The 17,261-nt window shown below is 37.8% G+C and overlaps 1 protein-coding gene across 8 annotated transcripts in view; it reads right to left on the bottom strand.

Moving 5' to 3' along the window:
* The window catches only part of PCSK5 (proprotein convertase subtilisin/kexin type 5), a 473,167-nt gene that overhangs the window by 286,403 nt on the left and 169,503 nt on the right, over positions 1-17,261 (bottom strand). For all 8 annotated transcript variants that reach the window (NR_120409.2, XM_047423454.1, NM_001372043.1 and 5 more), the window contains exons 6-7: positions 8,530-8,618; positions 4,675-4,847 (exon numbers count right to left, since the gene is read on the bottom strand). Coding sequence is in view for 7 of the 8 variants with exons in the window: in XM_047423454.1 (XP_047279410.1) it covers positions 4,675-4,847; positions 8,530-8,618 (262 nt within the window). In the remaining variant the exon portion in view is untranslated. The remainder of the gene's footprint in view (positions 1-4,674; positions 4,848-8,529; positions 8,619-17,261) is intronic.

The following is a 17,261-nucleotide window of genomic DNA, read 5'->3' as shown; positions in this document are numbered from 1 at the left end:
TATTTATTTCCTCTGTGAAAATCTCTCTTGATACTTGGGCTTATCTATTGCTGCCTGATCTCTTTGATGGTCTTGATGCTGCTGCCACCCTGGTCCAACACTCTCCTGGACCACTTCAATCTTCCAGTCATGCCTCTTCATCTCTCACCCCACATACAGTTACTGTTTACACAGCAGTGATCTTTTAAAATTGTATAAGGTCAGGCCACAATTCTGTTTAGTCTTTCATGGCTTCCTATAACAGAACACAATTCACAGGCCCACCATGATTTAGAAAGCCTTGCTGAGCTGGCCCCTGCCTTCCCCTCCAACACATCTCCCTTGGCCCTCTTCCTGTTCCACCTTGCCCCCAGCACCTACATTAGTATTGTGTTCTGGAAATACACCTAAATCTTTCCCTACCTGGGGTTCTTTGCTCTTTCTGTTCCTTCTGCATATAATAGTTCTTCATATGATGGGCTTGTTATCATTTATGTCTCTGTTCAAATATCACCTCCTCAAAGAGGATGTTCTGTCTTCCCTAACTAAGGCAGCTGTGCTTTCCCTCAGCAGAAATCACTTTACTTTTATTCATACACTTACCCTGAGCTGAAATAGTCTTGATTATTTCTATCCTTGTTTCCTGTTTTGTTGCTAGAATGTAGGAACTTTTATGTATTACATAGAAGATGCAGACGTCTTTTTCACCCCTTTATCTACAGCATATAGAAAGTGGGAGCTCGCTAAGCTTAATATGATGAATAAATAAATTCCAATCCCTACATTTTTGTAGATGATAAACCCCAATAGGCCAGAATGACTTTAGGCTGCTGCATAGGTTTTCAGCCAGCTAACTGAAGGAATTATTTTATCAGTCATTTATTTCTTCATTCCTTAAATAATTAAGCCAATAAATCACATTTATTTCTTTGTTGTACCCTATAATCTAATATTGTATTAAGTTTTTATTCAATTATTTTCTTTATCTTTGACAATGTGTGTGACACAAAAATACAAATGATAATACTATCAAAGAATGTAAAATTTCCTGTCTCACTTGATGCCCCAAGAAAGATTTATTTAACCTGGAAAAGAGAAATATACTGCTTAAAATATTAAATTATATATTAATAGATATTTAGAGGAACATCCTTTGGGAAAATACAAACAAAATTCAGGACTACAAACACGGATAACTAGACTGAATTTACATATCCAGAGGCTATCTCACTGAAATTGAAGATACGCTTTTAAAGGCAAGTGAAATTGAAGGTTTGTACAGACATAGGAAGAACAAAATAAATGACACTACAGAGCTCAGGAAGGCTACGTTGACTTGCATCATATTATTATTATTATTATTATTATTTTATTGAGACGGAGTCTTACTCTGTTGCCCAGGCTGGAATGCAGTGGCGTGATCTTGGCTCACTGCAACCTCCACTCCCTGGGTTCAAGCGATTCTCCTGCCTCAGCCTCTTGAGTAGTTGGGATTACAGGCACCCGCCACCACACCCAGCTAATTTTTGTATTTTTAGTAGAGATGGGATTTTGCCATGTTGGCCAGGCTGATCTCGAACTCCTGACCTCAGGTGATCCGCCCTCCTTGGCCTCCCAAAGTGTTGGGATTACAGGCATGAGCCACCACACCCGGCCTGCATCATATTATTTTTAATCTACCCCAACAGGTAACTTACTGGAATTATCAGGAACTAGGCACTGTGGAAATGGTATAGGAGAGAAGGATGATGGACTGAGGACAAATTTAAATAGTTTTATAGGAGGACATGATCTTTTCTCTGAAAAATAAAATGCATTTATTATATTGCAGGTATTATACTAGTTGCTTTATATGCATTATCATCTCATTTTGCATTTATAACATCTCTGTGAGTACTATTAGTGCCCTACCTTAGATGAGAAAATGGAAGCAGAGAGGTAATTTGATCTACATAAGGTTAGAGAGAAGTAAATGGCAAATATTGGACTCAATCCTAGCCTAACCTGAAAGCCTATTTGTATTAAACACATGAAAACACGATCTTCTTGACCTCATCACATGAAAACACTATCTTCTTGACCTCATCACATTTAAATGCATCACCACAGTTTTTCCATATTTAGATGTGCAATGCTATGAGCCAAAAAACAATCTGTTCTTATTGATAGTTATTTCTTTTGTTACTACCTCAACTCTAAAAGCAAATGGTTTGATTTAAAACTGAATTCCTTTTTTTCCCTAAGTAAAACCTTGGAAGATCTTCAATGGAATGTTGAATTAATTATGGTATCTCTATACTCTAAAAATTTTGAAACAAATAAAATAAATGAGTTCTATTCTTAAGGGTTGCCCCAGAAAGATGCCTAGGGTAGACCGTTAGGTTCAAATAGTAATGTGCAGAGGTATATAATCTCTGTTTGCATGTTAATATGCACAAGAGTATGGAAACATGTAGCTTATACTCTTAACAGTGGTTACCCAGTTGGGTGGGGAAATCTATTAAGTTCATCTTTACACTCATTTGTGTATAATCTATCCAATAAGCATAGTTTACTTTCATAATTAATAATGAATATAAAGTAAATTTCCTCCAAATTATTTCTAAATATAATCTTCCTCATGTGTTGGAATAATTTTCTCAGGTGATTTTGTTTCTAATCTTAACCCCTTTTTACTCTTCTTTTAACCAAAGTACCATATTTTTAATTTTTTACACACTAAGCTTCCAGTTAAGATTTCCACTGAATGAAAGACTCCCCAGCAAAAATAAATTTGAAAATTGTTGGTTCATGTGTTCTGCTTCAGTGACACGCCTACTAGTCTGTTAGTAAAACCAGCTATTGAATATGGGGCATTCTTTATATATATATATGCGCATTCATGAGGTTATGTGTATTACTAATTTAAGTATTTTCAGATTAATGAGAAAGTCCAGATTGCTCTTTATTATAAGAGCCATATACATATAATTTTATGATTAAATATGAACAGTGTTTGGTTTACTGAATTTGAATGATCATTCTATTGAAAACATAGAGATCATAGCAATTTGTAGTCTGTGGCTTCAGTAATGAAATCACCAGATTACATAGAATATATTCATTTGCTGTTAAGGCACCTTGAAAGAAAACTTCTAGACAATGAGTTAAAACATTACCTAAGGTTTAAAAGACTCTAATATAGGAAGCTGAAAATTGACAAAGAGCTAAAAAAAGTGAATGTTTTAACCAAACCTGAACTATCATTCAGCTAGGAAGTACCTACAAAATAAGTATATAATTTTATCCTCCAGTCTATTTCTGAATAATTAGAAGACAGCTTAGCACAGTCTTCTATTAAAACCCTAACAAAAATCCCACGAAGATGTGGGCAAATCGTTATTATTTTTACTCCAGCTGCAACATTACATTAATCAACAATGCATTCCACTGTAAGTATCTGAGCTGGATATTTAACAACCCTGTGGTTCGCATCATTTGTAGTTAATTAAATTTGATTCAATAACTTTCATTGAATACTCACTAGAATGCAATGCACTGTCTAGGTTTTGCAAAGCCCATGAAGATGTGTGGAGCACAAGTGCTGCTCTCTAGGAACTCGCAATTTAGTAAGGAAGATATACCCAGAACTAACTCTGATATAAAGCACAATATGATAAGAACTCTATGTAACGCTAGTAAGAATATAAAGCATAGGTAGGGGCTGTTTATAGTTAATTCCAGTTTGGGCAGTGAGAAGGCTTCTGGGAAGACGTGAACCTTTTTTAGCTGGCGCTTGATGGTCAAACAGGATTTGGCTTACAGTGGGAGGACTTGGGGATGGGGCACGGGAGCTATGCAGGAGGAACAAGGAAAGCGTTCTGTGCTGATGGATAGGAGTGGAGCACGTCTACATTATAAGGAGTAAAAGAGAGGAGAAGAAAAGGCAGGTTAGGGCCAGATCAATAATGGCCTTAAATGAACAAGACTAACTGTATGCTTTAAATCACCCAAAGGTCCATTCATGAATAAGAAAAAGACATTACTTCTGGTGGAGCTCTCCTCCTTTCATGATTACAAAGATTAGTATCCTCACTTTTAAAATTTAATTTAAATGAGACAGGGTTTCTTAAGATCTGTAATTTGAAATAGACATTTTATTACATTAGATTATATGGTTAGTTTTTTGTGGGAGAGTGGTCAATCAATTTTTTGGTGTAATTAAGGAAAAGAATGATGCATTAAGCTACTTGGTTGTAGCGATCAGGAGCTGGAACACAAATAATATTGTCCTGGGACAGAGGTGAGAGAAACTAGGGAAAGTATTAAAAAAGGGAGATGCCCCAAGGGGCATCACTATGCAATGTATTCACGCTACCTGGAGAGTGTTAAATATCTTCACTCAATTTCACAGTCCTAAGAATTTATTTCTCCAAATGCAAGATTAACGTATTAATATATTTTCTTTGAAAGAATTTAAGCACTGTAACATACCTCTGTTCTCTTCAGAAGAAACTCTCTAGCTCTTAGTTCACTGGCAGAACAGAAATAACTCACAATCCCAAATGTTCACCACCTCTTTCCATTAGCCTACCTGCTGGCTCAGCCTAGGAGCTCCATCCAGTTCTCTAGACTGCAGCTGGAAACCCATAGATTCTTCATATGAGAATCATCACCCATCCACACAGTATAAGCCTCCATGCTTTTAAAACCTACCATTCTAACGCCGTTTTCAAAGGCTTGCCGGGTGAGGGGGGCTGGTCCGTCCACAGTCTTGCCATCATCATCCGGGCCCCAGCTGGCGCTGTAAATGTGCACGTGCTGGGGGTTGAAGCTAACTGATTTTGCTTCAACCATGTCCGTGACATCTCCGTCCAGCATTCGCACTCCTTCAACACAGAAAGGAGAACTAGCTCATTACAGGGCTTCCCTACACAACACTCAAAGAACAGAGCTGCAGGATTCTCGGGGGGAAGAATACATTTTTAATCAACACTTAAGTGAGCATATCTTCCCCCAGCAAAAGGATAATGTATACTTTGCAGGCAGTATCTTGGGCAGAAAGGATGTCATATTGTATATAAAAGAGCAAAACTTCAATTTTTTTAATCCATTTTCTTTTTCTAAGGTTCCTTTCCTTATAACAGCTGCCACAGTCTCTCCCTTCTCATCCCTCTCTTGAGTGAGTACTTGACAAAGAGATCTTCAAGCAATCCATCTCCCTTAAACTCTTTATTGAATAACTTGTGTTCATAATTGATATAAAACATTCTATCTAACCTTAGCAGTCATATACTATTTGGAAAGCTGCCAAGGTAGGATGGTCTCGTATCCTCCATATTTAATATTAGCCCCTAATCATAAGATTGATGTGAACTTCATGTTTCTTTTTTTGCTAAGTTATTTATGTCAAATAATAAATAAGAATAATCTCTGTGGATGTAACATTTCAAATAATTCTCAAAGGGTTTTTAGCAATGTTTAGTTATTAATCTTCATTTAAGTATATTTCTATCAAACAGATAGGAATTTACTATTAACCCTATTTTGCAAAAAGAGACATTAAGATACTCAGAAATAAATTCTATGCCAAATGTCAGGCTTTCCTTTTTTCCTTCTATTTTGGAGGCTCATAAAAACAACCACAACCAAGCATCTAATTGTTAAGTAAACATATCTCTCCTTCAGTTTAAATTAAACACCATCACTGAAACACTGTATCATTTAAAAATTATATTTTTACAGGCCAAATTTAATCCTTAGGAAAACCTTGTCATCAGTAGGATTTTAAGTTTTTATTGGTTATCAACAAACGGGGATTAAATAATAAAAACCCACATCAAACAGGTTTAGATAGAGACTATGTGAACTGAGGTGGGAATACTGGTAGAAATAAAAATATTATTGAAGGAACTATGTTTAACTTTTAATTATAAAACTTTCAAACAAAGAAAAATAGAAAGAACGAAGAATGAACATATATATACATAGCCACTACTCAATAACTGTTAACATTTTGTCTCATTTTCTTAATCCAAAAATATAAATATTAGGTTGAACCATTTTAAATTCCATGACAGATGTGACCCTTTATCCTTTAAAAATTTTTACAAAAAATAGGGACATAAGTTCCCACTGCCATCTAACATCTAGCCAACATTCCATTCCCCTCCATGTATCTCTAAAGACATTGCATTTGGTTGTTAATGTCTCTTGACTGTCTTTCTTCTAGACTCTTGAATTTTTAATGGAGATGTGTGTTAACAGGAGAGGTGGAGAATGAAAGCTGTGAACAAGTTCCATTAAAAATTTTGGGGACGGGTGCGGTGGCTCACGCCTGTAATCCCAGCACTTTGGGAGGCCGAGGCGGGTGGATCACGAGGTCAGGAGATCCAGGCCATCCTGGCTAACATGGTGAAACCCCGTCTCTACTAAAAATACAAAAAATTAGCCGGGCGCAGTGGTGGGCACCTATATTCCCAGCTACTCGGGAGGCTGAGGCAGAAGAATGGCATGAACCCAGGAGATGGAGCTTGCAGTGAGCCGAGATCATGCCACTGCACTCCAGCCTGGGTGACAGAGCGAGACTCCGTCTAAAAAAAAAAAAAAAAAAAAAAATTGGAATGGAAATTGGAAAGTTTGTCCATGGTGTGAGTAAAAAACCCTACATAATGATCTCGATGTACTGCATCCTGAGTAACACTGGTTTAATTTAATTTAAATATTCAAAATTTGTCTGCATGTTTCTTAGCAAAGAAAGATGAACGACTCCATCCTCTTACTTTCTATTGAAAAGCATAAAATGAAACTATTTTATTGGTACAATGAGGTCTGAAACAAACACAGTAATTGCCCCAAATAAGCTCACTAGTGTTCTAAATGCCAACAGGAGAGTAGGACATAACACTTGAATTCAGTTTCTATGTCATGCATGAAAAAATGCTTGTAAATCATACTTAGAGGGTGATGTTCATTTTCTAATAGAAATTTCACAAAAAAAGAATTTTACTTTGTCAAGTTTAAAGATAAAAGGCTGCTTTTTCCTCATTTAACTCCAAGCCTTCATGCCTTGGGTATGGGGGTTAAATTTATTATTCAGAATGTTCTTGTTGTAGAACATTTTTGATTTGTTGCCATATATCCTTTTTTTTTTTTTTAAATAAGGTTCTGTAAGCTAGGTCATTGGTTTATCTGTGAGTTCACAAGTTCATCCTCTCATTTTTTAAAAATTATTAAGATTTCTGGGTTTGTGCTGGAGAGTATTGATAAGAACCTGGGGCTGTGTGTCTGTGTATGCGAGAAACTATATCCTGGACCATGAGAAGGGCTGACCTGGCCGCCTCTGATATAATTCTCTTGGGATGATGAGGGGCCTCCAAAACTCATCATTCTTCAGGGAACGAAGAATTTTTTTCTTTGCCTCTTTTCTTTAGCTCTTTCATATGCATTGTGCTTAATAAATAGCAGATGCTCCCCGCTAATTAATTACTGCTTAACAAACTATCATACTCATAAGAATTCAGGGTGAGAAAAAGGAAAGAAAGAGGTCAAATGCACTATGGACCAATATTCAAGGTAGTTTCAGAAAGCCTTTTCTTAGTTCTATTATTGTATACCTTAAATATTTCATGTTAGGGAATCTCTATATTTATATTCCTATCCTAGAAAGAATTGTCATTTTTATTTTTTAGTTCTAACACTATTTCCCACTTGAAAACAAATAATGCATTGGAAACAAGGAGGTCAATCTGGTTCCAGGAGCTTCATTCATCTTATGACGCTCTTAGGAGACCCCTAGGGAATACCTTCAGGCATAATGATAAAATCATGAGGATCCATAGAATCTATTACAATATTTTCTTCCCATTTGTGTGTGGCTGTGGCACCAGGCTGTTGCTTACAAAGATGATTACAAATGGGAAAGTTAAGAGTTTGCTTTTATCAATGCTTAAATTTATACTGCTTTGGCTGGGTCCTTATAGTAAGTGTATGTATAATTGAGTTTTTACGTATACATGCCTGCATATAGATATAATCTGAATCATTCATGGAAATAGTATCACTATATTATGGGATTACAAAAGGAGATTTTTGCCATATATCATTTTAATTACAATTAAAAGGAACTTTTTAAAAGCCTAAGCCAAAGGAAAAAAAACAAAAACAAAAAACCAGGATTTTCCACTTTGAGAGAATTACAAAATGCTTCTTTCCATAGAGATATTATGGCCTAATGTTTATATTATTAGTTCGTTCTAACCCAGGCACCAATTGTAGCATTTTGGTACAAATGTCAATGACCCCCATCTTCACTACTAGATAACATTTTTTTCAAGTCTGTTTAAAAGAAAAGTGTTTACAATATTTTAGGGTGACTGCTTCAGAAGTCTTTAACTAAATGTATTTAAAGGCGCATGCTAACATGGTCATGTTGGGGCCAGCAATAGTTGAACACTATTAGGTAGAGATATGCCCAATCGTTTAACCTCCATTTAAAAAGGATTCTGAAAGCCAGTCAGCCAAAGAGCTAACTGGCGCATTTCTACATCCACGTGAGTTGGTTTCCCATACCTCCGATCTTGGCGTTGAAAGCAATTCCGACTGTGCAGTGCGAATTGTTTGCAGCGGCTGCCACTTCTCCAGCACAGCGAGTCCCATGCCTGCAGGCAGAACACACACACTTTCTCAAGTAAGACACACCATTCTCACAAAGCCAACGCGTCACTGCCACCACTCAGAGTGGTGAAGAATGTACCCAGCTGTGGTGTTTCTGGAACTTCCTTCCCAAGTAGCACTTTGTCTGTCCATGGCAAACTTCTAGCACTTAATTAGATTGTTTTGGATTATATTCTTGACATATTTATTTTTCATATCTTGCTTTCCCAACCGGACAATCTCCTTGAAAGCTAAAAGTTAGAAAACCTTCGTTTCTATATCCCCCAAACTTCTACTGATCCACATAGTTGTCACTGGATATATGTGCTACCAGATACTTGAAATGTGACTACTGCAACCTTATCTCAATTTTTTATTTAAGCTTAAGAACTAATACTCAAATCAATTATTAGAAAACTTAAGATGGGTATGAGAATCTGCTTTTTAAATTGTAAATTTAAATACAGATCAAGTATTTCCAATAACAATTTATTAGCAGAAACGTGATGTGCTTTAAATAAACAGTGGATTTCAAAGATTTTGTATGCAAAAATGAAAAGGTAAAATATCTTATTAATCATTGTTTTATACCAGCTACATGTTAAAATATCTTATTGAATAAAATATGTTATCCACACTTATTTTACTTGTTTTTACCTTTTTACTTTTTAAAAGAAATGTGGATACTAGAAAATTAAAAAAATTATTTACAGAAAAAGCATTCTCTGTTATTTTGTCACCATAATTTTGTGCCTTGATTAGAGACATCTTTTAGCTGAAAGAACTTTTAAGATCCTCTTTCAAGGATGGCAAAGAAGTTTTCAGTATAAAGTACAATTTGCTTAGAAACGGTGGCCTAAAACTGTGTGCTGGGAAGAATTCTAAAGCGTGACTGAGCCCAGAGAAAGAACACCAAGACTGACCTCTAATGTCTGCCATGCCTGCAGAAGGGGGATGTGACAGTCATTATGGTTTATCTGTCATTGCTAATGAAGTTAAATGCCCATCCCTTCCCTCATTTTTAGAGAGGAGGGCATCTAGGAGGACCAGAGATACGAAAAGGTACATCGAGAGTAGCACAGTTAGCAAAACAGTGACTAAAACTCAAGCCCCCAAATCCATTTCAGTGCTTTTAATTTTACAGCACAGCTGCCTCAGACCACTACTCTCTGTGCAACTATAATCAAGTTACTGCTTACAACTGATAGGTACACATGCAAGTTTACATAAAAGAGATATATACTGCTTTTTTCACTTAGTAATATTATGTATATTTTTCTAAACATTAATCTATATATTACTTAATGGTTATTAATGTATTGCATAATTCCTTAAATGATATATATAAATGTTTGTGTAGTGTGTGTGTATCTGTCTATATATATACACACCGTAAGCTTTTTAACAAGTCCTCTTTTCCTGGAACTTTGCTCAGTTATTCACTAATATTAACAACAATACGAAGAACAATCTTGAGTACAGACATCATTTTATGCCTTGGGACGAATTCCTAGAAGTAGAATTACTGGATCAAAGAGTAGAGAGTATGTTGTCAAATTGTTAACAGCACAAAAAAGTAATATAACCAAAACTCATAAAAGTTGTAAGACTGAAACAATTACTACACAATGAAAACTATAAAAAACGGATCAAAGAAATTGAAGAAAACACAAACAAATGAAAAGATGTTCCATGCTCCTGGACTGAAAGAATTAGTATTGCTAAAATGTTCATACTACCCAAAGCAATCTACAGATTCAATGCAATCCCTATCAAAATACCAATTACATTCTTCACAGAAATGGAAAAAAAGTCCTAAAATTCATATGAAACCACAAAAGATTCCAAATAGCCAAAACAATCCCAAGCAAAATAACAAAGCTGAAGACTTTAAAATATACTAAAAGGTGTAGAAACCAAAACAGCATGGTACTAGCATAAAAACAGACACACTGACCAACAGAACAGAATAGAGAACACAGAAATAAATCTATGCATATACAGCCAACTGACTTTTGACAAAGGTGTCAAGAACATATACTGGGGAAAGAATAGGCTCTTCCATAAATAATGCTGGGAAATCTGGATATCCATACATAAAAAATGAAACTATTACCCCCCACCCCCATCCACCTCGCACCCTATATGGAAATCAAATTAAAATGTAAGACCTGAAACTATGAAACTACTAGAAGGAAAAATATTGAAGAAATGCTTTGGGACATTGGTCTCAGCAGAGATTTTTTTGAGTAACACCTCAAAAGCTCAGGCAACAAAAGCAAAAATAGATACATGCAATTATATAAAGCTAAAAACCTTCTGCAAAGCAAAGGAATCAATTAACAGAGTGAAAAGATAACTCACATAACGAGAGAAAATACCGGCAAACTCTGTCTGACCAGGGATTAATAAACTGAATGTATAAGTAACTCAATAGCAAAAAGCCAAGTAATCCAATTTTAAAATGGACAAATGATTTGAATACACATTTCACAAAAGAAGACATATAATTGGACTACGGGTATGTGAAAAAAATGCTCAACATCACTAATCATCTGGGAAATGCAAATCAGCCACCACGAGATATCTTACCCTGGTTAAGGTGACTATTATCAAAAAGACAGAAAATAACAAATGCTATAAAAAACAGATCGAAGAAATGATCGGATCAGAGAGTGCAGTGAAAAGAGAACACTGCTGGTGGGAATGTAAATTAGTATAGCCACTACAGAAAACAGTATGGCGGGTCCCGTAAAACCTAAAAATAGATCTAGCTTATCATCCAGCAATCCCATGGCTGGGTATATATCCAAAATAAAGGAAGTCAGCCTATTGAAAAGATATCTGCACACTTATGTTTACTGCAGCACTATTCACAATAGCCAAGATAAGTGTCCATCAACAGATGAATGAATAAGAAAATGTGGTATATGTACACAATGGAATATTAGCCATAAAACAGAATGAAATCCTGGCCAGATGCAGTGGCCCATGCCTGTAATCCCAACACTTTGGGAGGCCAAGTCAGGAGGATTACTTGAGCCCAGGAGTTCAAAGCCAGCCTAGGCAAGATAGGGAGACTGCGTCTCTACAAAAATAAAAAAGAGATCACATCTAGGAAGTGAGGAGCGTCTCTGCCCGGCCGCCCATCGTCTGAGATGTGGGGAGCGCCTCTGCCCCGCCGCCCCATCTGGGATGTGAGGAGCGCCTCTGCCCGGCCGAGACCCCGTCTGGGAGGTGAGGAGCGTCTCTGCCCGGCCGCCCCGTCTGAGAAGTGAGGAGACCCTCTGCCTGGCAACCACCCCGTCTGAGAAGTGAGGAGCCCCTCCGCCTGGCAGCTGCCCCGTCTGAGAAGTGAGGAGCCTCTCCGCCCGGCAGCCACCCCATCTGGGAAGTGAGGAGCGTCTCCGCCCGGCAGCCACCCCGTCCGGGAGGGAGGTTGGGGGGGTTCAGCCCCCCGCCCGGCCAGCCGCCCCATCCGGGAGGGAGGTGGGGGGTCAGCCCCCCCGCCCGGCCAGCCGTGCCATCCGGGAGGGAGGTGGGGGGGTCAGCCCCCCGCCTGGCCAGCCGTGCCGTCCGGGAGGGAGGTGGGGGGGTCAGCCCCCCGCCCGGCCAGCCGCCCCGTCCGGGAGGTGAGGGGCGCCTCTGCCCGGCCGCCCCTACTGGGAAGTGAGGAGCCCCTTAGCCCGGCCAGCCACCCCGTCCAGGAGGGAGATGGGGGGGTCAGCCCCCCACCCGGCCAGCCGCCCCGTCCGGGAGGGAGGTGGGGGGGTCAGCCCCCCGCCTGGCCAGCCGCCCCGTCCGGGAGGGAGGTGGGGGGGTCAGCCCTCCGCCCAGCCAGCCGCCCCGTCTGGGAGGTGAGGGGCGCCTCTGCCCAGCTGCCCCTACTGGGAAGTGAGGAGCCCCTCTGCCCGGCCAGCTGCCCCGTCCGGGAGGGAGGTGGGGGGGTCAGCCCCCCGCCCGGCCAGCCGCCCTGTCCGGGAGGGAGGTGGGGGGGTCAGCCCTCCGCCCGGCCAGGCGCCCCGTCTGGGAGGTGAGGGGCGCCTCTGCCCAGCTGCCCCTACTGGGAAGTGAGGAGCCCCTCTGCCCGGCCACCACCCCGTCTGGGAGGTGTGCCCAACAGCTCATTGAGAACGGGCCAGGATGACAATGGCGGCTTTGTGGAATAGAAAGGCGGGAAAGGTGGGGAAAAGATTGAGAAATCGGATGGTTGCCGTGTCTGTGTAGAAAGAAGTAGACATGGGAGACTTGTCATTTTGTTCTGCACTAAGAAAAATTCCTCTGCCTTGGGATCCTGTTGATCTGTGACCTTACCCCCAACCCTGTGCTCTCTGAAACATGTGCTGTGTCCACTCAGGGTTAAATGGATTAAGGGCGGTGCAAGATGTGCTTTGTTAAACAGATGCTTGAAGGCAGCATGCTCGTTAAGAGTCATCACCAATCCCTAATCTCAAGTAATCAGGGACACAAACACTGCGGAAGGCCGCAGGGTCCTCTGCCTAGGAAAACCAGAGACCTTTGTTCACTTGTTTATCTGCTGACCTTCCCTCCACTATTGTCCCATGACCCTGCCAAATCCCCCTCTGTGAGAAACACCCAAGAATTATCAATAAAAAAAAAAAAAAAAAAAAAAAAAAAAAGAAAAAAGAAATTAGCCAGTAGCCAGGTGTGGTGGTGCACACCTGTTGTCCTACATACTCAGGAGGCTAAGGTGGGAGAATCACTTAAGCCCGGGAGATCAAGGCTGCAGTGAACCATGATCATGCCACTGCACTCCAGGCTGGCTGACAGAGCAAGACCCTGTCTCAAAAAGAAAAAAAAAAGAAAAAAAAATTAAATCCTGACATTCTCAGCATGGATGGAACCAGAGGTCATTATGTTAAGTGACATCAGCCAGGAGCAGAAAGACAAATATCGCATGTCCTCACCCATATGTGAAAGCTGAAAAAGCTGATCATGAATGTGGAGTAGAATGATGGTTAACAGAGGCTGGGAAGGGTAGGACTGTGTGGGGGATGAGGAGGCATTGGGTAATAGGTACAAAAATACAGTCAGATATTAGGAATAAGGTCTAGTGTTCAATAGTATAATAGAATGATAATAGTTAATAATAGCTTATTGTATATTTCAAAATAGCTAGAAGAGAAGATTTGGAATATTACCCACAGAAAGAAGATAAATATTTAAGGCAATGGATAACCTAGTTACCCTTATTTGATCATCATACATTGCATGCATATATTGAAATACCATATATAACCCATAAATATGTACAATTATTATGTATCAATAAAAAATTTTTAACAAGAAAATAGTACTATAAACAATTAAATTTTGTGCATGGCAAACAAAAAGGCCATAAGCCAAGCTGAATGACATATGGAGAAAATATCTGGATAAACCCTGTGTACACACACCCCTGCATATGAGTTTTCCAATCTCTTTCATCTTTGACAATTTGACATGAAAATTGTTATTTCATTGTTGTTTCCCTCCTCCTGCCCATTATATTTGATGTTGAACATTTTTCAAATATTTATTAGCTATTTCTATTTCTTGCTTTGTAAATAACCTCTTCAGGCCCTTTGCCCAAATTTCTTAATTTCTTCCCTGTCATATCTGTCTCAGATGTTTCCAAATTTGATATTTGGAACATACAATCTTATTTAGATCAATTTTGGGTTGTCATACACAATTTCATTTTTTTTTTAGGAGACGGGCTCTTGCTCTACCACCCAGGCTGGAGTACAGTGGCTTGATCATAATTCACTGTAACCTCAAACTCCTGGGCTCAAGCAATTGTATCACCTCAGCCCCTTGAGTAGCCAGGACTACAGGTGTGCACCACCACAGCAGGCTAATTTTTAAATTTTTTTGTAGAGACAGGGTCTCACTATGTTACTCAGGTTAATCTCCAACTTCTGGCCTCAAGTGAATTTCACATCTTAGCCTCCCAAACCAATGGGATTACAGACTATCTTTAATTTTGATGTACTCATAATTATCTTCCCATTCTGGCATTTGATTATATCATTGTCATCATCAAAAAATGATCAATTTAAAACATTTTTCAAAAATTTTAAAGATTGATACATAAGAGATGTACATATTTTCAGTGTACATGTGATAATTTAATACATTCACATAATTTGTAAAGATCAATTCAATGTAATTGGGATATCTATTACCTTAAATATTTGTCTTTTCTTTATGTCAGAAACATTTGAATTATTCTCTTTTAGATAATTTGAGATATAAAATAGATTACTGTAAACTATAATCAATTGTAAACTATGATCAATTTTTAAAAGAAAAATTATTTATTTTGGAAACTCCAAGCTCAACTATTAATTTTCCCCCAAATCTAGCAATTATTAACTATAATCCTTCATTAGTCTTCGTAAGTTATTTTTATTCAAATGTGTAATTCCTTTAATGAGACTGTTCTTATAGTTCATTGTATCTATTATTAATTAATGCCCAGTGCTACTGAACCACAAGGGCCTCTATTTTGAAATTCAGCTCTGGTTTATTATTTGGCCCACGACTTACTTGTAAGTATGTTTTGATATTTTTAAATATATGTGGGTAATTAGTTATCTTTTGGTATCAATAATAATCTGATTAACTTGTGATAAAATAATATTATTTCTATGAACCAATTCTTTGGATTTTGTGAGATTTACCCAATGGCCAAGTTTGTGAAAATTGTTAATAAATGTTCCATGTGTTTGAAAATGATGTATATTCTCCAATTACTCTTTATGTGTCCATCATATCAGGCTTATTTATTATACTGTTGGTTTGTTAATATGCTTTGCAGTTTTATGAATTTTGTTTTACTTAAAATGGAATTAGTAATCTTTCTAATGAAACACACCATTTATAAATATGTACTAACACTGAATGGCTCTTGCAGTTAAAAAAAGATATTTAGTGACTATTTAATTTGTATACACATTTTTTACTTTCAAATACTCTGTTTATATTAGTTATATCTCTTATAAATAGAATATAACTTGGTCTTTTTTGAAACTAGACTTTCAATGAGTCTTTAACTAGAGAGTAAGACCATTTATAGTAACTGTGTTTACTGATATATTCATGTTCATTTCTGTAACCTTTTTCCCTATACCAGCTTGGTTGTTATGTATTCTATTATTTAGTGGCAATCTTAGGTATTTGATCACAAATAGCTAACAATACAAAGTCTAACGTTATCAATCCTCTTTTTCCAAACAATACAGACTTTAGACTGATTCAACTCTGATTACTCATCTCTTATACCCATGTACAAGCTTCTTATGATTACAGTGATACCCTGGATTTTTTAACCCTAGAAATTAATTAGTTAGTAATTTGAACAGTATTTGTCTAGATTTACAAATACAGTTGAACCCTGAACAGCACAGAACTTCTTGGGTCCACTTATATATGGATTTTCTTCCACCCTTCCCACCCCTGAGACTGCAAGACCAACCCTTCCTCTTCCTCCTCAGCCTATTCAATATGAAGGCGATGAGGATGCAGACCTTTATGATGATCCATTTCCACTTAATGAATACTAAAATAATTTTCCTTTATGATTCTCTTAATAACATTTTCCTTTCTCTAGCTTAATTGTAAGAATATAGTATATAATACATGTAACATACAAAATATACATTAATTGGTTTTTTATTTTTATTAATAAGGCTTCCAGTCAACAGTAAGCTATTAGTAGTTAAGTTTGGGGGAAGTTAAAAGATATATGCAGATTTTCAGCTGCATGGAATGGAGTCAACATGCCTAATTCCTGAGTTGTTCAAGGGTCAAGTGTACATTCTTTGCTCTGTTTCTTTTTGCAGCTCATACTTCCCTCTTGGATCATTGATTTCTTTCTGAAGAACATTTCATAAATATCTGGGCATTTATTCTACAAATGTGAAAAGACCTTTGAGAAAGTCTTTTGGCTCTTGAAAGTCTTCAGAAAATAACTTTTTACTTTTCTTAAAAAATGATTGCACTGGGTACAGAGTTCTAGAGTAAGCCCACTTCAAAAGTGTCATTCCACTGTCTTCTAGCTTGCATTATTTCTGATAAGAAATCAGGTATTTGGGCAATCTATTTTTCTCTGGATGCTTTTCTATTTGACGTTTTTTTATCCTGTAGGATAAAAAATTTGAAACATTTATAATTTTTTAGAATTTAAAAAATTTCTTTCTAGGAATTCTTAAACCTGTTGTTATAAAGTCTAATTCCTCAGAATTTTCAGCTATACTCTCTGAAAACTGCCTTTCTTTCTCTAGTTCCTTTTTTCAAAGTCCTTTGACAAACCTGACAAAAACAAGAAATGGGGAAAGGATTCCCTATTTAATAGATGGTGCTGGGAAAACTGGCCAGCCATATGTAGAAAGCTGAAACTGGATCCCTTCCTTAACATTATACAAAAATTAATTCAAGATGGATTAAAGACTTAAACGTTAGACCTAAAACCATAAAAACCTTAGAAGAAAACCTAGGCATTACCATTCAGGACATAGGCATGGGCAAGGACTTCATGTCTAAAACACCAAAAGCAATGGCAACAAAAGCCAAATTGACAAATGGGATCTAATTAAACTAAAGAGCTTCTGCACAGCAAAAGAAACTACCATCAGAGTGAACAG

Source organism: Homo sapiens, chromosome 9, assembly GCF_000001405.40.
Source record: "Homo sapiens chromosome 9, GRCh38.p14 Primary Assembly".
Taxonomy (NCBI): domain Eukaryota; kingdom Metazoa; phylum Chordata; class Mammalia; order Primates; family Hominidae; genus Homo; species Homo sapiens.
The sequence above is the reverse complement of the archived record's forward strand: the minus strand, read 5'-3'. Positions and strand labels throughout refer to the sequence as shown.